The 25256-nt window shown below is 37.3% G+C and overlaps 1 protein-coding gene across 8 annotated transcripts in view, besides 1 other annotated feature; it reads right to left on the reverse strand.

Annotated features, from left to right (window-relative positions):
• Positions 1-25256, reverse strand: part of ITPR2 (inositol 1,4,5-trisphosphate receptor type 2) — a 497843-nt gene that overhangs the window by 178895 nt on the left and 293692 nt on the right. The window lies entirely within an intron of this gene.
• Positions 13228-13397: an enhancer, noted in NCBI's record as "experimental_26952 CRE fragment used in MPRA reporter constructs". NCBI's record gives its function as "activates a minimal promoter by MPRAs in K562 erythroleukemia cells, with activity observed for both the introgressed and non-introgressed 12:26680492 variant alleles {active_cell/tissue: K562}" and the evidence as "EXISTENCE:reporter gene assay evidence [ECO:0000049][PMID:34662402]".

Genomic DNA, 25256 nt, shown 5'->3' on the forward strand with positions numbered 1-25256 from the left:
AATGAATTGAAGGATAGCACTGGCTGGGATTTGTATCAATTTATGTTTTAAATGCAAAAAACAAAGCGATTACAGTATTGCTGTTTCCTTTAATGAAGTCCCGAAAATGATTTACAGGAGTATTTACTGCAGTCATGATGTTTCTAAGCTTGAAAGAAATCCATACAAAAAGATATTCTGCTGTATCAGATCAATTGAGTTCCAGCCTGGCAAGAAGTGATGATAATTATTGGAAAGTAAATTGTTATGTTTTTGTCTGACTGCCTGTTGCCTTGGCACGTGCTATTTCCAACTCTGTCTGGAAATAATAGTACATTGAGCCATCTTGGGTGACTTACATAACCCGCTACTATCATTTGAAAACTGTCAGCTCCAGTAACTTGCTACTGTTTGTACAGTTTCACTACTGAAACACTGACTTCATTGCATTTATTTTCTGCCTGTTGCCAAGAACCGTATGTTAAAAGGAAAATTAAGTATAAAGCTTCACCTTTAATCTAAATTCACACCATTTTCAATTTGGTTACGCACAATAATAAAAAATAAATAAGATTTAATGAAGAGCTGACTATAAAATAGTTCCTATTTTAATTTATCAATTAAAATTTGTATTGTAGCTATGACTAATTATCCAGGCAAAACATAATTATTTCTACTGTCTGGAACTATAACAAAAGACCAAGAAATCAGCCTTTGATCAGAATAGTATCTATGTATTTTCTCATCAGTTAAAAGTAAGATGATGGAAAATTATCCTCCTAAATTCCAGGTAGTTTAACAAATATACAGAGTAATTTCTACCTCAGTAGCAAAATACCAACAGAATAGTGAAAAACAGGGTCCACAAGATCTTACTCAGATTGAACCAGTTTACTCCAGTATCAGCAAAATAACAAGAAAGAACAATCTATAAATCAAAAGATATAGGGAGAAAATAGGAGCTTTGCATCATTTATCAAAGAAAGTAGTTTTCTTGGAATGCTCAAATATTAGCACCAAATTCTAATACTAAAGTTTTTCTTTAAAATAAATGAAAGGCAAGAAAGAGAAAAGCAGCATGTCTCTCATTTTCTACAGTGATTTTCTGGGGCAAGTGTGAACATTATTTTACTTCCATATTTGAACAGCACCTGCTGTAATTATTGTATTGCCTGTGTAAACTATCAAAGCCCTGATATTAAACTGCTATTCCTTAAGGCCCACACTGACTTCCAGCATGTGCATGGCTAATGAATTTAGTATCATTATACTGCTGTGGAAATCAACAAAAAGAAGGAGAAGAAAATAAAAGCCTGAAAACTCCATTTTCAGCAAAAGAAAGAGACAGATATAATCCACAAACTACAGAAGACACATAAGAGCTGCCCATATCAGCAGCCATCAGGCAGAAGCCAAGCAGGAGAAAGTACAGAGAAGCACTGAGAGTGGCCACATGGCCGAGCCGCATCCCCAAGAAGTTAAGGCAAAAATCTATCTCCTGAAGTGAAGGAGCCCACCAAGAAACACCAAAGCCGCAGTTCATATTTGTATCCATAGAAGTCAGAATTAGGGGGAGAAAAGGCAAGGTCAGAAATGTAGAGGGCCCGGGTATGGTGGCTCATGCCTGTAATCCCAGCACTTTGGGAGGCTGAGGCAGGCAGACTGCTTGAGCCCAGGAGTTCAAGACCAGCCTGAGCAACATGGAAAAATTCCATCTCTACAAAAAAAAAAGAAAAAGAAAAAAGCTGGGTGTGGTGGTGTGGTGTCATGAGCATGTAATCCCATCTACTTAGGAGGCTGAGGCAGGAGGACTGCTTGAGCCCTGAAGGCAGAGGTTGCAGTGAGCCATGATTGCACCACTGAACTCTAGCCTGGGTGACAGAGTGAGACCCTGTCTCAAAAGAAAAAAGAAAAGAAAAGACGAAGAAAAGAGAAGGGGAGAGGAGAGGGGAGGGGAGGGGAGGCGGGGGAGGGAAGGGGAGGACAGGAAGGAAAGGAAAGGAAAGGAAAGGAAAGGAAAGGAAAGGAAAGGAAAGGAAAGGAAAGGAAGGGAAGGGAAGGGAAAGGAAAGGAAAGGAAAGGAAAGGAAAGGAAAGGAAAGGAAAGGAAAGGAAAGGAAAGGAAAGGAAAGGAAAGGAAAGCTAAGCTGAGGAACTACTGTTATGAAAGATACCATCAGAGTGGCCATATTTTTAGGATGTGCTCCAGCTTTGTGATAGCAGAAAAGAAAAGGGCTTTGGGGTCTTCAAAGACTTCCCATAAATTACTGGTTGTATCAACTGAAAGAATATATATAAGGAATATAAAGGGGAAAGGAAAGGTGAGAGATGCAAGAGCAAAGTTTATCAATAAATAGCACTCATGGATTATACAAACAAATTAAAATCATTATAAAAAAATTTTTATATGCACTTTTTAACATGATGAAATCACCTCTATAAAGGAATGCTGCATAGCAAAAAGATAAGAAATTCAGGAAGAAATTGTGGAAAAAATAGGAGATGAACATTTAAAAAGTATTTCTTTGGAAATGAATAAATAATTGGAAGGGACACAAATAAGCTCGACACTACAGCAAACAAAGGGATGGAGAGGATAGATATGAGAAAAAAATAAAATGGGTATTTCAAAAATCTCTTCAAAAGTTAAAAGAGAACGTAAAAGAAAAAAAAGACAGTGAATGGAAGACTCAGCATATACATAATTGGAGATCTGAAGAAGGAAACAAAAGAAATGGAAGTTAACAAATAGTTTTAAAATATATAATGTAATAGAATTATCTTAAATGTAAGAATATTTGAAGAGTATAACATTGATGACAAGTAAGAAAACTAGGAACTAGTTTTTTAAACTTCAAAAGATCCCTTGCATCTAGAAAATAAACTCTCCTTAAACAACTTTTAGAAGAGAAAAATTCTAAAGAGAATTTCTGAAAAACAACAATAATTAAAATACTATATATAGGGAGATGCTATGGGATGCAACTAAAGTAGTGATAACAGCCAAAAGAAACTATCAACTGACTTAACAGACAACCTACAGAATGGGAGAAAATATTTGCACACTCTGCATCCAATGAAAGTATAATATCCAGAATCTATAAGGATTTTAAACAAAATTAACAAGCAAAAAGCAAACAACCCCATTGAAAAATGGCCAAAGGACATGAACAGACACTTCTCAAAAGAACACATACATGTGGCCAACAAGCATATGAAAAAATGCTCAATATTACTAATCACTAGAGAAATGTAAATCAAAACCACAATGAGATAACAATTACACCAGTCAGAAAGGCTATTATTAAAAAGTGAAAAACTAACAGATGCTGACCGGGCGTGATGGCTCACACCTGTAATCCTAGCACTTTGGGAGGCCAAGGCAGGTGGATCACCAGAGGTCAGAAGCTCGAGACCAGCCTGGCCAACATGGCAAAACCACATCTCTCCTAAAAATACAAAAATTAGCCAGACATGGTGGTGCCTGCCTGTAATCCCAGCTACTCGGGAGGTTGAGGCAGGAGAATCACTTGAACCCAGGAGGCAGAGATTGCAGTGAGTTGAGGTCACGCCACTGCACTCCAGCCTGGGCAACAGGGCAAGACTCTGTATCAAACAAAACAAAACAAAACAAAACAAAAACTAACAGATGATGAAGAAGTTGCAGAGAAAAGAGAACACTTACATACTGCTGGGGATAATGTAAACTAGTTCAGCCACTGTGGAAAGCAGTTTGGAGATTTCTCAGAGAACTTAAAACAGAACTACCATTTGACCCAGCAATCCTGTTACTGGGTATATGCCCAAAGGAATATAAATTATTTTAATATAAAGTCACATATACACAATGTTCATCACAACACCATTCACAATTGCACAGACATGGAATCAACTTAAACCCATCAACAGTGGAATGGATAAAGAAAATGTGGCACACACATACCATGGAAATACTACACAGCCCTAAAAAAGAATGAGATCATGTCCTTTGCAGCAACATGGATGGAGCTGGAGGCCATTATCCTAAGCAAACTAACACAGGAACAGAAAACCAAGTACCCCATGTTCTCACTTATAAGGAGGAGCTAAACATTGAGTACATATGAACACAAAGAAGGGAATAACAGACACCAGGTCCTACTTGAGGGTGGAGGGTGGAAGAAGGGTGACAACCTAAAAACTAGCTATCAGGAACTATGCTTATTACCAGGGTGACAAAATAATCTATACATCAAACCCCTGTGACATGCAATTTACCTATATAACAAACACATGTACCCCCGAACCTAAAATAAATGTTGTCGGGGAAGGGGGGGCGGGAATAAATACAAATAAAAAATAAAGTAGTGCTAAGAGAAAAATCTGTATCCTCAAAACATCCATAGAAATAAAAATAAATGTCATACCCAAAAATAAAAAATAGCAAAATTTTAAACCAACTCATTAAATATAGAAGCATGGTGTAACGAGGTTGAAAAGAAATACAAACAGAACTAATTTTTAAATTTTTAAAATTTAACAATTTTTTAAAAACTTGCTTTCTGAGAAAATTAACCAGCAGAAACCCTAGTAAAGAAAGAAGGAAAGCCTGAAATACTAAGTAAAACATTGCAAGAAGGAAATAACTAAAGAAACAGAAAAAAATTAAATGATCACAAGATTTTCTATGATCAACAAGATTTTTCAACTACACGTAAACTTTTTTGAAAGACTGCATAAAACGAATAAATTTCTAGAAAAATAAAATTTATCAAAATTGAACCCAAAAGAGACAGAAAATCTAAAGGGACCATTTTCATGTAATAAATAAAGGAAATTGTCAAAGAGCAAACAGCTCAAAAAGCACCAAGCCCAGATAGTTTCACAGGGAACTTCTCCCAAAGAGAAGATCAATCCAGCACTTTTTAACTGTTTCAGAGCAGAAGAAAATAAGAAAAACTTCCAAATTCTTCCTATGAAATAAATAAAAAACTAACAAATAGTAATCAACAATAAATAAAACCTACAATATTTTTATAAATATCATTGTGTACAAACACACACGTGTGTGGGTGTGTTTGTGTGTTGGTGAATTCCATGACCCAGTGGAATTTGTTCCAGGAATGCAAAGATGGCTCAATGTTAGAAACATTAGGAAACTGCTTAACAAAATAGAAAGCTTATAGAAATATAGTACTTACATAAAACAGCAAAAGTCCTATGATTATGCTTTACAGATGCTGAAGAACCATTTGACAAAATTTAATTTCATTTCTGATTTTAAAAGTAAGTATAATAAATAGATGCTTCTTTAACAAAATAAAATATATTTATCTTGTCCCAAAAGCCAGTATCATGCTTACTGAGAAATATTAAAGGCATTCTCAATAAGGCCGGATAGAGACAAAGATGTTCATTACCATTAATATTTAACATGTGCTGGATGCACAAGCCAAAACAATTGGCAGAGATAAATGATGTAGAGACAAAATATTTAGAAACCATCAATATTTGCAGATGATGTCATTTTGTCCTGTGAACGCCAAAGACAATAAAATGAAAAACTACTGAAAACAGTAAGAGAATTTATTAAGGTAATGAGGTTTAAAACATAAAGAGGTTCTCTATGAACTTATATGGCAAAATCAACGAGATATATTAAGTAAAAAGAGAAAGGTGTGAAATAGTGGTATGATAAGTGATATGACAGAAACAAACATACATACTGTGTTTGCTTGTATATACATAAAGAAACTCTGAAAACATACATAAGAAACCAATAATAGTGATTACCTGGCTGGGAGGTAGGTGGGAGGATGGGAACACGGTGCAAGGGCAATGAAGGTGGGAAAGAAACTATTCTTGTTACATTTTGGTACTATGCAGTATATTACCTATTCAAAAATTAAATGTAAAATAACTTTTAATTGAGATAGTTTTCTTAAGGTTTTCAGAGAAACATACCAGTTATTGAGCTGTTGCCTCTCAGCTCCAAACTCCCCCTTGTGATTTGGGACTGAAATTTTATGGATCACATTTCTACTTTGCTGGCTACATCTAGGATAGGCTTTGCCAGCAGGAAGTATGAGAGGGAGATTGCAGGCAATCTGGGAGGAAGAACAGACTCCAGGAAGGAAGAAGAGACTTGTTCCTCTTCTCTGCTTCCTATGGGCTTCCTGTTGACTTCCTGTTTTTGCTTCCTGTTCTTGTGAGTGTCATTCCAAACACACTTTATTCTGGCAAGGGTGTTTCCTGCTCAAAGCCACAACTAACCCAGTCTGTAGTTTTTCCAACACGCCTTTCCCTCAGAAATAGCGGCTCCTGGTCTTTGCCAGTGGTCCCCAAGGTCTGAGTTCCAGCCACATGGGACCTCTCATCTAAGTTTTAAGTTACTTCTCTTTGCTCCTGATGTAGGGGTGAGATCTGCTTCATGAAATGGCTATCTTTGTGACACTTTAGTGTCTTTCTTTTCATCTTTCATTTCTTCATTCCTAGCTATCAATTCTTCATATTAAATTTTTTGTTAAAATAATTTGTGGATTTTTGTCTCCTGATTCAAACCTGATTGATAGACCAACCAAGAAAATCTTTCTCTTTATTTTTTAAGCACATACTATATCTATATATGAATTTGATTGATTAGATATTTATGGGGTATGGATCTTCTATAGGCTGATATAACTTTGAAAAATTATAGCAGAACAAGTCAGGAATCAAGTAGAATTAGTTTATGTAAGGAATATAACATGCTCCTTTTTAGAGCATCTGGATAAATTATTTCCTGAACCAAACATCACATTGAAGTAGCAATATGAGTCACTGTGAAAGAAAGTACATTAAAGACTCAGATTTTGCCCCTAAGTAGCTTCCTTTCTATGGTATAAATACTCAAATAGAAACTCCAGTTAACCAACCTGTATAATGCTGATTTATTTTATTACCTGAAGATATTTTTTGGGAGGTGGTGCATTTTCAATAGTTATACAAAACTGACATTAATATTTAGTTCATTTGCAAAGAAAAGTTCACACACTCTTAACTGAAGTTCAGAAAACCATGATACTGTATTATTATTTATTTTTATAAGTGCAGCGCATGAAAAATAATTTCTATTAATTATGTAATATAAAGAGTAAAATTTAAGATAAAAATACCTTAATAGCTGTCAATCATATACTTGGTAATGCACTATGACAGCTGAACAATTAAGAATGCGTTTCTAGAAAATACATGTTCTGCAAAGTTGCATGTACCCTGTTATTAACTGTCAATATTTTTCAGATTCATTATATGCAGTCAGGGGCCCCTCGAGTCTTTCCAAAGCTTCAGCCAGGATGCTTTGGTCATCAAGCATGTAGGTTTACAGACTTAATTTGGCCTTTTCAAACACTTTCCTTTAAAACAAATATCTGTGGTACAAAACAAGACGATCTTCGTAAAAAGAGTGGGAGGGAGGAATGAAGAAAGGAGAGATGCTCAGGGAGTCCCATCCCCAACAGTAATGGATCATATCTCATCTTTTAAAGACGCAGATAGGAAAGGAAACAACAACAACAACAAAGCCAGACTCAATTATGTCAGGGTAAGGGATTAGCTGGTCCCTTTTTATTATTTTGCAAAGATGCAGCAGCGAGTTATATTCCCTGATGATAATGAGCTATCCCTACATCACTAACTCATTAAACCAACTCTGAATTCACTCATTAACAAAGTTACTCCAGCTAGCATCAATTTAAGACCTGGAGGCTAGCCTTTTTATAGCAGATGCCATTTACTGAATTACATTTCCCACTATATTCTTTTGACTACTATAAAATACTACAGCGTCAGACACAGAATATTTTATGTCTATTCTAGCAAGATATATTTTCTATTAAAGTTTTACTAAGAACCAAAAAGAATAAACTATGTTTTTACAATTTGATTTGAATAAACAGGATGAACACTATATAGTATAAATACTCGAAACTTTCAGTTAACCAACCTGTATAATGCTGATTTAATTCCCTGAAGATTTTTTAGATATTATATAGTGTTCATCCTGTTTATACACACACACACATCAGAAGTACAGCATAGAGATGTTCTAATGCTATCTCTGTAGCTTAGACTATTAGACATGAAGTAGCCACCAATCCTGATCTTAAATCACAATCACCTGGGAAGTTATTTTAAAACTATATATTCCCAGGTTTACGCTTTACACATAATAAATCAGGATTTCCTTGAAATATGGTCCAACTTGGCCCAGTTTGTGGGTCAGTGTTTGGGGACCATTATTACAGTGGAAGAAAACATCTAAGATCTGCTTTGGAACCCCTATCCAGTCACCTCTGAGCAGTGCGACCCCAAGCAGTTCATTATGCTTCTTGATGCATCCATTTTCCCTTTGGTTAAATGGAATAATACCTACTGCAGATAGTTATGGAAATTGAATGAATGGGAAAGTACATGTGCAAGTTAAATCTCACACGTCATTTAGATAATCTATTAAATTGAAAAATTGTTAAATTCTGGGTTTTAGTACATATTAGAAAATAATCTACTCACATCAAAATCAGGATATAAGAATTTACCTTAAGCAAATTCTTGAGAAGATTTTCAAAGAATAGAAGAAAAAAAGCCATGCTTCCACGGCGGGGGGGGAACCCCACAACAACACCGGTTTTGCTACAGTTCAAGACTGTTTTACCTAAAATCGCAAAAGAACTGTACACCTAATCCCTGTTGATATAACAAAATGGAAGCATTCTGCATAACATTTCGATGCCTTGGGTTTCAGCTCAGTGTCTGAACAATTCTAACGAGCATTGTCTCACAAGGTCTTTTGGTTAAAAACATAAATCCTATTTGGAGTAAAATAGAAGTAGAGGGAGCTGGGATAGCCAAGCTCACATCATTGATTTTGGTTGTTCCCCAGAGGCTCTTAAGCCTCTAGTATGATAATAATCCTCAACTTCTTTACCAAGCCCCAATTTCTCAACTTCTATTACCTTCCTTCTTTTATCCCACATCTCTTTTCGTAAAAAGATAACTAGAAGCCTCAACCAAATATAGGGTTAATTTCTGACGGTTCCTTAAATTGATCAGCTATAATCTCACAAAAAATTAATTTGTTCAACATTAAAAGGCCATCTGAGCTCACAACTTAGTTTTAATTTAATTGAACTCACGATTTGACACTTTTTCTCGCTAATCTTCCTTCCCCCCACCAAATTATCACTGTATCAATTTCTTTATTCTCACTCATAGATAATTGCATTGAAAAATAAAATACTGGCAGCCTTTTAAGCAGATTCTCAAAAACAATGGCAAAATCTTTTTTTTTTTTTTAAAAAGCCTACTGCTAACTGTCTGTAAGAAAACATTTTTCTCTACTTGTGAAGGTTGGTACTCCCCCACCCCTACATTATTTATCCAGGTTATATAATGCTTAAACTCAGCTCTTCAGGGGCATGATGATGTATACATAATGCAAATATCCTTGCTGGAATTACAAAGGCAATTTATCAATTTATGTGCAGCTAATCAACCCATTTGCTTTCTACTGTAGAGCAGTAAAAGCTTATCTCATGCAGACTCACGGATCGTTCAAAGCAATCTAATTGAATTTCAGGGCCAAGAGCATTGCACAACACGTGACGTGTCTCCAGTGGAGCACAGTGCCAGACACTGCAGGCGTTACATAATCACATGCTGTTGTTGGCAGAGCCGCCTCAGTGGCTTGGCAGTCTGTGTCTCCTCCAATCATGCCCCGCAGCTTTAATCTGCACGGAGTGTGCACATGTACTGTCACATGCTTTGGGACTTTCATAGCAGCAAATAAAACAGGGACCATTTCCCTACTGGTAGAAACAGTTCATTAAAACCAGTCACACAGTACACAAGATTATAACGGGATAGAAGGCATATGTAACACACATGCTTCTAACCAAGCAACAGAGAAAGCAAATTTCAAATACTCCATTTTTCAAACGAATAAGGCTATCTAATAGTATCTCTGCCATTTCAAAGGAGTTTTCAAATTGGGAAGGTGTGGGAATGATACATTTCAGATACTACATAGAGTATAACCAACTGACAAATATGAGCTAGATATTCCTGAACATGAGCCACAGGGGGTACTATACATTCTAAACCTCATATACTCATCATTTTATTTGCAGGGATTAATCAAAAAATATGCACAACTATGAAATATTATGTACATCTGGTTTTTAAGTAATGCCATTGGATTTATAAATAATGAACCATTATATTTGTATATAAATATTTACCCTTGCCTTATTATTATTACACTGCTAATTTTTTGCCCAAATGTAAAAATATCTCTAAAATTGATAATGAAATACAATACATGCTAAACAAATTCCTACACATATTTTGTTTTTAAATTTTTAAAAAACAGGTCTATGTACAGGATCTTGAACTCAAGTACATGGCAATGTCTGCAGATTTTTTCAAAAAAATAAAAAAGATTGGTTTAATCTATACAAGGGCTGAAAACAAAGTACACAAACCAGATATTTTCAGATTCCATGACTTGTTTATATCTCCACCAACATTACAATATTATCAAAATAAATAGCATAATACTACAGCAGTTAAAATTAAGCAGGTTATCAATTGTATAAAAATATCACTAAAAGAGTATTCTAAACAAAATGTGACTGTTACTGTAACAAGATTTAGAAAATGTTTTCTTTGATTTCATGTGACTCAAAAAATTATTTATAATTATGGAGTGAGAACTCAAAATATAGATGGAATAAAAATAAAACATTTCTATAATTTAAAACTAAACCTGAGAAACACTGAGTGGAATAAGTCATTGGTGAGAGGATGACACCTAGTGATGAGCTGTGATATTGCAGCCCAGCTCTACAGGCCGTCCATTCACCATCTCAGGGAAGAGGCAGGATAAAGAAATTTCCAAAGATTTTACTGTAAAATATGGATATCACTACCATGAGGAGAGTGTGGGCATGGAAGGCAGGGGATGGCAAAGTAGAGCTACTCTAATATCCCTGCCAAACTTTCTGTTGCTAAAGCTTCCCAAAGTTCAGGTCTTCATGTCTTTCATTCTATAACAACTTCCTTTGAATACTTTTTAGTATGGGATTTATGACAGACATATAAAGTATATCCTTGTTAAGTAAACAGACTTAGAAACACATTTCAAAAGCGCTCACCTAGACAGCTACAATCCTTTCCTACTGGCATCTCTACCTACAGCATTTGTAACCAATAATATCACAGCAGGATTAATCTTATAGAGTCACTCCTTGATCAAAAATATTTCCTCAGTAACATCAAGTTGACTGACTGTAAGGTGAATTCCATCCATACAGCTTTGACTTTGAGACCCTCTCTATATGTTTGTTTTTATTCTCCAAATTCATATATCAGTACTACTGAAACAAAACTTTACACCATATAAATAGGATTGCTCTCAATAAGAACAGTATTCTAGATGATTTGTTCACAAACCACATCCTGAACAAAATATTTTTCACTTACCCTTGTTCTCCCTACTATGCCCTGTTCCTTCCTGATGTTGTTTGGTATTTAATCTCTTCTCTCTACAACCTTGGGCTCACCCTATCAGACCTACTGCTTAATATGATACTTCTCCTGTTTCCTTCTTTGAACACAATTTGTATCTACCCATTAGACTGTCTCACTTTCAGCCACTATAATTCAACCCTAAGCCCCAACCTCCAATCCAAGTCACCACTGCCAGCATTCCTGCTAGGCTCCTCCAGTCCTTTGAGCAGCACTCAGGTGTTGCTCCCTACAATACTATGCACACTTTATCTCCAGCTCTTTGCTCACACTCTCACCCAGACGAGAAGGTCCCCTTTCTTTCTCCTCTGCTTATATCAGCTGCACTATTTATTCATGTGTTTATTGGGTAGTCCAAGACACTGTGATATGCACTGCAGCTAGAGTAATAATAGACTCATGGAAATAAGAAAAAATGTACATTTTCTGAAATTTGCTATGAAAAAAATGAATAAATGTTGTAATAGAGAAGAACTGGGGGAAGTTATTTTAGATAGAGTTGTCAAGAAAGGCATTTGTGCTGAGAATGTGACATTAGGACTGAGACCTGAAAAATATAAAAGGAGTCAGGCACATGAATAGCCAAGGGAATGGTATTCCAGGCAGAAGGAATAGCAAATGCAAAACCTCTAAACAGAAAGAGGTGATTCTGTTTGAGGAACAGAAAGGACACCACTGTGGCTACACTATAATAAAATAAGGGAAAGAGGTTGAAAAGATGGCCCAAGTTGTGTTGTGCAGGGTCCTACTAATTTTGGTAAGAAATGTACATTTTCTTTTAAAGAGAAACAGAAAAACATCAAAGGGTTTTTAAAAAGAGAATGACATTATCTGATTTATCATTTACAACTGTTACTCTATGAAAAAAAAAGATTGGAGGTTACAAATACTGAAAGCAGGGAGAAGAGTTAGGAGGTCATGTGGTAGTCCAGGCAGGAGATGACGGTTTCTTGGACCAGGATAACGGGTTTAGACAAGGGGGTGGCAGGGCAGATAGGCAGCTGGGTGTATTCAAGAAACACTTATAGGTAAAATCAACAAGACTAGCTGATGCATTTGCCATAAGGGGCGAGAGATAAGAAGAAATCAAGAATGACACCTAAAATTTTGGTGAGCAGCTTGGTGGATGGTGATATTATTTATTAATAAGAGGAATGCAGATGGAGTGGACAAGGGAACCAAACACTCAGTCCTGGGATATTTGAAGCCTGGCTCAATTTCTACCTTCTTTATGAAATATCCTAGTACCAAACAGCCCCTAATGATCTATTCCTGCAAAGTTAACACTCACTTCTAGTGTCTTAAGCTTTATGAACAATTCCTAGGAAATGGTTTACAATCATCCCAAACCTGTCAAAAGTGTCTTTGGTGCATGGCTTAACATTCTGCCTGTAATGCTCATGTAATCCACTTAGCAGGTAGTATAGGGTACATTTATATTATTCACTTTTCACATGTACTCATGTGGCACACATTCTATACTGGAGTACAAACTTCTTGTGTCCAGACAACTTATACTTCTTGGTGTGTCCTCAGACTTGGCATTGCACTTTGTAGGAAGAATGCCTTTGAGAAATGTTTGCTGTTGTTGATGATGATAGAATGCCTAAAAGTGTCATCAAATTCTGAAAATTCTACAAACATTACACCACCAATCAGTATAGTTCTGGTATAGCTGAATATTTGGCATTTTGGGGAATCCCTTTCAGTTCAGGTATACTGGTAGACTTACTGAGATAATCAATTCCAAATATTCATTTTATAGAAATATTCCTTAGTCTTGACTGAAACGTATCTACATTAATAGTTCTCAAACTCACAGAGAAAAGAATGGATTTGGCACCAGTGAAACTGGGAGTAATGCATAGTTTAGTGGTAGCAGCTAATGAGATACCAATACTAATGGTTTGTTATTCATCAGATATGTTTCTGTGGGAAAACAAGTTGAGACATACTTCTTCTATACTATAAAGCAAGGAGTCCTACAATATCTCCCACAGAAACATGAACCTGACAAGGATAAAGGTAATGACAATTTACTACGTAATGAGATAAAGCTCCCAATGGAGAAAGGTCAATAGGGAAGTGCCCTTCTCCTTACCTCATGTGCCCCAGGTGGAGGAACTTCCGCTAGTGATACCTTTGGCCTCTCTCTGCCCACTCACTCATGCCTCCTTTGAAAAAGGGAAGCGCCTTATGTGACTGGTGGTTTGGAAAGAAGGAATAACAGATGTTAGCAAAGTCCTCCCCAAGTTCTGCCTGACCCCAAGAGCAGGAGACTCCTGGACTGCTCTCTGCCATATTCTAAGCGGCTTGCCCCTTTGGAGAGTCTGGGTTTGCCGTTAGGTTGGGGGGAAATATTAGCAAACACACCCACAGATCTCAAGCCATGTTTTCCAGTTGCATATTCCAGTTATGAACCTGACATTCTGATCTCAACCTGAAAGATTCCTATGACTTTCAATGGTTCCAGCTCCTGAGAGAGGGATGTTACTTCGGGGCCTCTGCAAGCCCTAACACTAACAAACTGTTCGAAATAGAACCACAAAGGATGTTGGATTTTTGTTTAGAGCTACAAAAGTAAATATAAGATTCAATGCACTTGTATGTTTGAGGAACACTGCATCTATCCCAGAAAAATAGTTTCTATCCTATCATGTCCTCTTCCATATCTTTCTTAGCCACTTATAACAATGCTCATCTGTATGAAAACCTGAAGGAAGAAGTTGTACTGAAATGCCATTTCTTCACAGGTCACTGAAAACCTGCTCAAAATAACTCTTTACATTGTACAAGAATGAAATGTTGATTACATCTTATGTCCAGGTTTATCGTAAATGAGATTCCATCTCCCTCCAAATTAAAACTACATTTTCCCTTTTGATATTGCTGTCATCAAGAAGCTCAGAATATCATGCAAAGGGGGACATGTTTCTCCACTAAACTTCACTGTCATGGATTTTGGTATTTGTTTGAGGACACCTGGCAGGAATAGGAGTAATTCCATGGCTAACTAATTCAGTTCTGTACTGAACCCATTTGCTGTGCTGTGTTGTGCACTGGAGGCACAGGGTGGGTGAGGTTCCTCCTTTCATCTTCCCCTTTACAACAAATGGCACTTCCATTCTTCCAGTTACTCATGCCGCAATCCTTACAGACATTTTGAACTCCTCTTTGTCTTTTATTGCACATTCAGCCTCACATTCAAAAGCTATCCACTCAAACTTCACTCCACATCCAGAATCCTACAACTTCTTGCCTCCACTGTCACCCTACTCTAAGCCTCCATCATGTCTCAGCTAGATAACTGCAATCACTTCTTAAAAATTATCTCTGCTTTCACTCTTGCCCTCTTAAGCGTACTCTACACTTAAGCTGACACAGTAGTCTCTGTCAATCATAGATCAGATTTCACTTACTCCTATACTCAAACCTTCCAATGGCTTTCTGTCTAATGCTGAGAAACTCAGACAACATCAAAGTCCTTACCATCTCCTACAAAGGGCCTACATGATCCAGCCCCTTCTCCCACTGCTCTGATCTCATGACCTAGTGCTACCTGTCACTGAGCCCTTTCTAGCCACACTGGCTTCCTTGATGGTTCTCAAACCAGGAATCCAGCTGCTAATGCAGATCTTTGGGTGTGTGCTGTTTCCTCTGCCCAGGATGGCTGCATGGCCTTCCTCAGTCTCTGCCACACAGGACCCTGTCAAAGATGCATTCTCTTAACACCCCATAGAAAACACAAACCCATTTCTCTTCACTGTTCTTGCTCTCCTTTTATCCTGAGACAGGTAGCAGAATAATTTCCTATTAAAGATCCTATAATCACGCTGCCTGGGTTCTAATGCCAGCTGGGTCATGGGCTGGTTCTGTCTGTGGAACCTGGAACAAGTAAAATAACCAAACGTCTCTAAACTTCAGTTTTTCCATCTGTAAAATGGACACTGGAATGTGAGGATTAAATCTCCATATAAAGCACCTCTAACATCCTTAAAATGATTCCTGGTACCTATGAAGATTCAATACATGATGGCTAGTCCATTTTTCATCACAGCACACTGTGTATTTGTTTATCTATTTATGTATCATCTGCTCCCCCTCCAGAATGTAAGCTCCAATATAAGAATGGACCATGCCATTTCATTGTTTTGTTTTCTTTCACAACTGTATCTTCAGTAACTGGTTCAGCTCCTGGCACATGGTAGGCATTTAATTAAATTTTTATTTTTGCAGTTTAAGTCTACCTCCAATATTTCTGAAAAGGAATTTATATGCTTTGTAGTCCCATTAAGAATCTAAATCCATAAGAGAGAAGGAGATCAGAGAATCAGGATACAGACCTCAAAAGCTCACCTGGCTCAACTGGGATTTTAATTTAATTTAACAGATGATGCAGGTTAGAGCCAAGGGTCCTAGGATCCCACAGCCAATAAGTGATGTAGCAAGGGCCCCAATGTCCCAGACCAGCACACTTAATGTGGTCAGAAAACCAGCTAACATCTCAAACACTTATTCTGGAATTTTCTACACCTGAAGTCCACAAAGACAGGCCCAGAAGCCACAGAATACTTGAAATTATCTGGATTACTCTCTTGTGTCTGTGTCTGTATTTTGGAAAGTTCATTGTTTGTGTTGCCAACAGTCATCATCTTCAGATGATACTGTTCACTGAGGATCATATTTCCCGTGAATCCTGGAGATTTTTACTTTCTTGATGGTCAGAAGTAAATGTAGGAAGAAGACCATTGTTCTCTGGCTCCCCAGTTGGGGCTATGAACTACTAGAATCAAGACAGCTAATATTTCTATACATAAGCTATCCTGCTTTGGACTTCTGATTCCAGGAACTCTGCCTCGTGTAGGATTCTCTGAAGTCAGCCTCAGCCTTCAATTCTCCCCTACTGGGTTCTTAAATACTATGGATGTGGTTGTGGGTAGAAAGGCCATGTTTATGTAGCTTTCTCAAACACTGTAGTATATCTACATAGGACTGTACCAATAAATTCAGAAAAAAAAGAAATAATTCTTTCCAGAACTATTTTCTTTTCTCATTTTGAGTTGTCTTAATGCAACTGTCTAATTTATAAATCTGAAGTCATAAAAATTACATTCAGCAAAGAAGAGGTGACAATAGATAAAAGCCCAAAATAAATCATAAATTTTTTCAGAGTTAAACTCTTCTATGATTAAATTTAAACCCACTTTTAGTGCTGAACTATCAATATTTTTAGATTTGGATATAGCCACTGAATGCTAAGTAGATTTGGTAAAATAAATCAATTACAGTACATTGTTTTTATCTTAAATACCCTTAAGAATAAGATAAAAGATAGAGGTCTGGGAACCAAGCAAGTCCATTTCTGTGTCTGGTTCCCTTGGATTACCATAAATATTCATTGGGCTTTCCTAATGCACCTCACTGTATTCTGCCCACTGAAATATCGGAGGCAGTGAGAAGTACAAACACGCATAACACACTACAGCATTAAAGTGTGTAAGACATTTCAATAAATGTACTGAGGGTAACAGCAGTGAACAGTAAAATCAGACAAAAGATTTTCACATTAAAGTCTATAACTCATTTTTAACCATTCATTTATCACATACACTGGTCATGTGTAATAAACTGGAGCAGAAACGAATTGTAGAGAAATTCAGCAGCAGACAAGTATAAATAGTGGCTTCTTAAAATGCTCCTTGATTTTTTCATTCGTCTTAGCTTTGTGACCCATCTAAAGCAATGCTCTGACAATTGTTATTCTTGTGCAGATTAGATTGCCTCTTCACTTCCAGAATAATGTATCTCAGATTTTTAAAAGGTGATATTTTCTCACATACACCTTTGATTTTCTACCATGTTCTAAGCTTCATGTTTACTGTATTTACACACACACACACACACACACACACACAAGTGTGTATCTGAATGATTCAAGACAATTCTCTTTTCCTGTACAGTCAGTGAAGTACCCCACCACTTAGAACCTCATAGGAAAGATTATACCAACACCAAAACAAAAAATGATCAATCATCTTGATTTAGATATGGAATAGATACTTGCTTGAGGACAGAAGGAATTACTGTGAGTCTATCTTGAAGTTTATTTTTCTGAAATTGCATATTCTCCTTTGATTGGCATAAGAGAACTGGTTAAAATATACTAGAAGCAGGAAAACTTTACACACAAGAAAATACGGTAATGCTGTCTTAAAATATCAGAAAAGTATTTTATAAATATTTTTAAGATTTAAAAACAAAGCTTAAAATTATAGGATATTTGTGAAAGGATATTTACAAAAGTAATACTATGACATGAGTCATTTTCTTCCTTAAAATCATGACAATTTATTATTTCATTGTTATCTCCCACATACAGGTGCAAGGAATAAGTCATTGAGGCTTGGCTATATCACGAGCTAAAAGCAGTGTTCTTGTTTGTGTTATGTTCCGTAAAATTCACTCTATCTTTAGGTAGATATTAAAAGCAACCACCAACATTTTAAAAACTGACCACTTGCCAAAACAAATAGCAAAATTGTGTATGTGTGGTTTACACAAACTTGTGAACAGTATAAAACACTCCTCCAGAAAAGGGACATTTTTCAATGAAATATTTTTTCTTTTTTTGAGACAGGGTCTCACTTTGTTGCACAGGCTGGAGTGCAATGGCACAATCATGACTCACTGCATCCTCAATCTCCCAGGCTCAAGCAGTCTTCCCACCTCAGCCTGCTAAGTAGCTGGGGCTACAGGTGTGTGCCACTATGCCCAGCTAATTTTTTTAAAGTAACTTTTTGTAAAGTGTTGGGATCACAGGCATGAGCCACTGTGCCCAGCCCCCGGTAAAAGACTTTAAGCATGTATTTTGCACACAATGGACTGTAATGATGAATTGATGAAATGATATTCCAAAATAATTCTTTTTGTTTTTTTGGAGACGGAGTTTTCGATGTTGCCCAGGCTGGAGTACAGTGGCGCAATCTTGGCTCACTGCAACCTTCACCTCCTGGGTTCAAGCGATTCTCTATCTCAGCCCCCTGAGTAGCCAGGATTACAGGCATGCACCACCACGCCCAGCTAATTTTTGTATTTTTAGTAGAGACAGGGTCTCGCCATGTTGACCAGGCTGGTCTCGAACTCCTGATCTCAGGTGATCCACCCACCTCGGCATCCCAAACAGCTGGGATTACAGGCGTGAGCCACCGTGCCCGGCCCAGAATAATTCTTTAATTTAATTTGTAGCAAATAGAAAACCCCAAAGATCCTATCTAAAATGTGCATTCTTCATGATCATGCTGAAACACAGTCGAAAAGTGCTTGGTAAGAAACTGGACTCTATATTTGAGTCAGCCCAAAGCTAAAAACTGCCACAAACACAGTGCTATCAAATTTTCAAATTTTCCCACTTATCTTGGAACCAGTCTATATGATGTTTTGACTTTCTGCTAAAAAACCTATGTATCTGGTAGTCATTGTCACTTGAGTTTTTATTCCAATCAACTGGTTTTTTTCAACCTTAACCTAAGATAGGAAACAAGAGAAAAACCTCTTTTCTGTTTCTTCCATGGGTTTAAACCAACTTAAACAATAATGTTTAGAAATCACTTCTTAAATCTGTTTGTAGATGCCCGCAAGCTGCTCGGTGCATTTTGGCTGCTGTCAGCAAAATGCGCACAAGAGAAGCATACACAGAAAACCTTTGCACATCTCATCTATGAAAAGATTAAAGACTTAGATATGTTATGGGCTGAATTATGCCTTAACCTGCAACACCTTAGAATATAACCATATTCAGAAATAAGATCTTTGAAGAGGTAATTACATTAAAATGAGGTCATTAGGGTGGACCCTAATTCAATATTACTAGTGGCCCTATAAGAAGAGGAAATTTGGACACAGACACACATACAGAAGGAAAATAATATGAAGACACAAGGAGAGGGTGGCCATCTACAAGCCAAGGAGAAACACCTGGGACAGTTCCTTCTCTCCTGGCCCTTGGAAGGAAACCACCTGTTGACCCCTGAATCTCTGACTTCCAGCCTCCAGAGCTATAAGAAAACAAATTTCTGTTGTTTAAGCCACTCGATCTGTGGGACTTTGTGATGGCAGCCCTACAAACTAATACAGGTGGCATCATTTCTTCCTCTGTGTCTTCCCACAGAAGATGATACAATACAAGGCAGATTCCCCCTAGGTGTCAGTTATCTGACTAGAACTATACAAGTCAGCCCAGCCTTTTCTCCAAGTAATTCTCTCCCTGGCATCTAATCCCTGATCCAGAGGGCCACTGCTTGACATGTCCATTCTCCTAACCCCGTGGAGACACCAGCCATCACGTCAGTGGCCTTCCAGAAGTAGGTCCTTCATCTGCTCCTCAGCTCCTGGCTCTGTCATGGGATAGTTCCAAATTTTTGTAATATTCCCTTTTCTCCCTAAAATTGAAGCATTGCAGAAATATTCAGCATGCTTTTCCCAGGAAGTATTCCTGGCAAGAATCAGCAAAATTGTATGCAAACATGTGAATTTCATTTTGCTTTCAGAAAATGGCAGATGTGGAAGAGAGATGACACTTGCCAATAGATCTCAGAGGAAATGGTTTGATCTCAACTAAGATAAATTCCTAATCCCTGATACGGCCCTTGAAGAGAGCAAAAGATGTAAAGAAATCTCTTCTATTCTAAATATAAATTTCACATGATCTAGATAAAACTGAAGAAATAGAAATTTCATCACTTATCAATGAGTTAGTATATTTTCCAATTTATTAACTCTCATTTAACAACGGAGTATTCTCACTTCAAAAAAATAAAGAAAAAGCAAAAGAAAACCCAAAGCTTTATGAAAACCAGAGAATGGAGCTTCTCTCTCAAGATTTTATGATGTAAATTTTTAAAAAAGATGTTGAACAGCTAGATTTAAGGAATATCGAACATTTCAGTTTAAATGTTGAACACTTAAGGAATTGTCCCTAGTTTAGATGCTGAACAGGTGGTTTACTAAGAAAGAAAAGATACTATGGCACTGTAATCAAACAGTCTTTCAAAATTAGTCACTTGCTGTATTTTGCATCATTAGCTTCACATGAACTGAGGATTCTTTGCTAACAGGGTTAGGATCAATATCTGTGTGAAGCATTTTTCATTCTTAAGGTTAAAAATTGTTTTATTAAGAGAAATAAGTTCTGGTGTTCTACTGCACAGCAAGGTGACTATGGTTAACTCTACTGTATATTTCAAAATAACTACAAGACAGGATTTTTTGAGTTCTCACCATAAATAAATGATATGTGTATGAGGTGGTGGATATGCTGAATACCTTAATTTGATTTTTATGTAACATAAACATGTATCAAAATATCACACAGTACCCCATAAATATGTACAATTGTGTCCATAAAAGTTGTTCTACTAATTGAGCAATAATTGGAACAATTTAAAATATGCTGAATTACTTATCCCTAGAGGTAACATTAAAATAAATCAGGAACTACTATACACAATAAAAATGATTCCAAAAAAGCTACATATGGCATTTAAAATGCTTCATATGTTCTATTTAGTGTACGGTCGAGGTCACAGAAGACCAATAAAACTTTATCAATGTCATTAAATAACACCCATTGGTAGACAGTGTTGTTATGTTCCATTAAAGATTTTCCAATTATCTTCCCATGAAAAAGTATGATTAGAAATTAAGATGCATCAAATATCACTGGAGAACACCTTGGCTATCACTGTCCAATTCAAAATAATTATTTGGTTCTAAAGTTTATAGCTTCACAGAAAGAAGAAACAGTTATCTACCTTGGGACTAAATCAGTCAAGTACTTGGGGAAGTTGAGCTTAGATGTCTTCCTTGGGTACTTCAAAGAGCTGAAGTAAAAACATTATTCCAATGGAATAAATTTAGTTGAGCAAAAGAAAAAGGAGATTTCAAATGTAAAGAAAAAAATCACAAGCTTTCAAATTAGACATTATATGGCTTCCACTTTTAAAATAAGAATTTTTCATAAGAAAATCTTTTTTTGTTGTACTGTGGCACAATCATTTAAAGATGGTGCACATAAATAAGAAAAGAAGAAAGGAATCCAAAAAGAACAACTTATATGTCAGTCAAGATTTCAAAGATTAATATTTATGAAAACAATTGGCAAACAACCGTCCATGATCGAAGAACAAAAACTGTTGCAGCAGATGTCTTGTCAAGAGGCTACAGACGATGAGAAGCAGCATACTTTCGTCCATATGTTTTCTCAGCCTTAAGAAAGAATATCCTCAGTCATTTGAATTTTGGAGAACACAGAGTGCCTGTGTATATAGCAAAGTAGAAGCTTTTTTTGTACAAGAACTTTGAGCCAAGATTTCTGGCTTCATTTGGAAAGAGGTGGCATATACATTTAGGTGGAATATTAAAAGAAAAGCAGCCAAATAACTTAAATAATCCAAATAACTCAATCTGTCAAGATTTTCCCGAAGAACTCAGGGTGGTCACTGGTTATTCTGGCCTGCCTGCCATCCCTGTTCCCATCTGTTGGCAACAATACTGCAATTTTCTCAGGAGGAACAGCCCCTTCCCTCTTCTATGCTATTTTATTAGGACAGTTTGTTAGTCCCCTGTCTTAAACAGCTGCTCAACAGTAGAACTCGAGACTATGAAATCTGAGGTGAATAAGAAGAGGAAGGGGGCAAGCTGAAGAACCGGGAAATTTGAGGGGTCAGTGGTTTTCATCAGGTTGAAGGACAGTTGAAATGGATGTAAGTGAACAAGGAAACTGAATGGAAAGGAGTAAATGTCAGAGCATTGGGATGCCTGAATTAGCAATCATGGAGTAGCAGCAATTACTGCCTGAGTTAGCAATCATGGAGTAGCAGCAAGAACTGGGTGGTGGACTCTGGAAGAGAGATGGTCAGTGCAGATACACCAGGCCAGTGTTGGCAGGATCCACCAGGCCAGTGTTGGCTACACAGCCGAGATTGACTGGGGTCACCCCTGATGATGGCAGTGCTGAGGGCCAAGATCAAGGTTCCAAAGTCTTAGATGGATGAGAGCAATTGACTGGGATGTGGGCTGATGTGGTCGTGATATAGTTGGAGGGTCTTAACTTCAAAGGAGCTAAGAATTTTAAAAGAAGGCAGAGGAATCTGTCTTGAAATAACAATGGGAAACCACAGGGACAAAAAGCTTCTTCCCCTGGAGGATGAAGGAGAAAAGAGACAGCACTTCACACAGCTGCTCAGAAAGTGGGCTGACCTTGGGGGCCAGGGAGTCTTCAAATAAAGCAAGAAGCTGGAGGGACCGCTTAGAGAAGAGGACAAGGATAGAGGAGAGCTTGCTGAGTGGCAGTTCTGGAGCGGGAGAGGAAGTGTTGAGAAATGGCAAGGCAATGTCATGGTGGTGATAGGAAGGGTTTGGTCTGTACATTTTGTGCATTAACTAATCCAAGCATGGTGGAGTTGATACCAACAGTTTATTTCAAGAGAGTGGGCAGTGGGCCTAGTAACCAGAGGTCTTGCCTAACTCAGCCAAGAGGATGGGGGACTCTTTGCCAATTGTATATATGCTGCAGTCTATTTGTTGAATGAATAAATGGCTGCATACACCAGGGTGGTAGATGGCAAGAAGCCTAAAGAAGCATCCTCAAAGGTGCACCCAAGTATGAGATTACTGCCCGGTTATTGCTTACCTTCTGGTGAATGTTTCCCTGATTACTATACTCTGGCACTGTCAGAGAAAATAAAATCAACTCAATACCTGGGATGGAGTTATATAAGTACATGTCTCTGAGTCAGTATCTTCAACATCATTCCAGCTATGTGATATTAATTATAAGCATTTGATTAGATTTTAATTGTCCATGAGTCCTCATTTAAATTATTTTGTGCCACAGACTCATTTTATCAAGCTGCCATGCTGTGCTCATTTACATATCACATTTGTTTTCTGTATTCCATGACTGTATAAGTAATATAGTCTATATTGAGTTTTAATTAAAAACCCAGCCAAAAGCCAGCGATAACTGAGATAAGATAGACCTAACAACTTCACCGAGCAATCTGCAAATATTCATAATGTTCTGTGTTGTTTTGTTTTAAGCAACTAAGATTTATCCAAAAATGTTTAAGATGTTCAAGCACCAGATGGAATATGCAGGAACCAGGCCTACTCTGAAGAAATCAGTAAATGGTAGATACTCAAAATCATTATACATAAAAAATATCTTAAGTTGGCTTCTGTTATTTAACGTAAAAAAACAGTTGCCTCTGGCAGCCATGTGTGAAATTCCTACAGCTTTGCAAATTGATATCATCATAGAATGAGAGACAGTATCATGTAGTGATTGGAAACATGGGCTCTAGGGCCAGATTGGCTGGATTTTCCTCCTGGTTGTGTCATCTTTTGTTGTGTGATCTTGGGCAAGTTTCTTAACCTTTCTGTGCTACAGGTCTTCAATGTGTTATGATTGTTAAACTAACAACAGAGTAAACCCCATAAAAGTTTAAGCTGTTACTATTATTTGGGGCATGTACCTGAAAGTTAGATAAGAATATATCCCCCACAAACACACCTTTTTGAAAAAAAAAAAGATTTGCTTAACCTTCAGGTTGCTAGAACTAGCAAAGGAAATAAGTCTGAAAGAAGTGGCTTGAAAAACTGAAATCAAATTCAAATTATCATTTACTTTCACCAGCATTATTTAATTCCCTACTATGTGGAGAAGCATCAAAGAAAGCAGAATCAGAAAACCTTGATTCATATTCCTGCTCTGCCATTTACAAAGCCTGTGATTTTTTTTTCTTTTTTTCTTTTTTTCTTTTTTTTTGAGACAGAATCTCACTCTGTCACCGAGGCTGGAATGCAGTGGCATGATCTCAGCTCACTGCAACCTCCGCCTTCTGGGTACAAGCAATTCTTCTGCCTCACCCTCCAGAGTAGCTGGGACTACAGGTGTGCACCACCATGCCAGGCTAATTTTTGTGTTTTTAGTAGATACAGGGTTTCACCGTGCTGGCCAGGCTGGTCTCGAACTCCTGACCTCGTGATCCGCCTGCCTCCACCTCCCAAAGTGCTAGGATTACAGGCGTGAGCCACTGCGCCCGGACAGCCTGTGATTCTTACCAGGTCATTTTACCTACTGTGCCTTTCTTTTTATCTATAAAATGGAGATTAAAATACTTTCTTTCCTCAGAGAGTTAGTGTGAAGATCCAAGCAGACACAGACACATTGTTACCTTGCAAACAGCTTCTCTAGATATGCCTAGTCAACAGCAGTTAAATAATAACAACAATAATAGTGTGGTTTTGGTGCCTCATATACCAGGTTGCAAATATTCTCTGTGAGGACCTGTTCAAACAGTATCCCGAAATTAGTGTATTTGATAGAAAAGGTGAAATGTATCAGGCCCAGTCTTATCCAGAGCCTTTCTATTCCTTCTCCTCTCAACCGTAACACCATTGAGCAGTTCAGAACACCAATTTCATCCTGTGGCAGGAGAGCCTGATGCTGCTTGAGATCAACAGTTCTTGGACTCTGCAGCTAGTTGCTCTCATTAATCTAACTCAGTGTCCCAGTTCATGTGACTGGACCTTGGCCTCTCCCCATAAGTCCCAAATGCTGCCATGTTCTCCTGGTTTTATAGTAAGTTTTTTTTTTTCCTGGTTCAAAGCCTACATGGTTTTTCTTTTTGAAAACCTACATGGTTTCTTTTTGTAGCCTGGCTCTCTTGCTTG

Source organism: Homo sapiens, chromosome 12 (genome assembly GCF_000001405.40).
Source record: "Homo sapiens chromosome 12, GRCh38.p14 Primary Assembly".
NCBI lineage: Eukaryota > Metazoa > Chordata > Mammalia > Primates > Hominidae > Homo > Homo sapiens.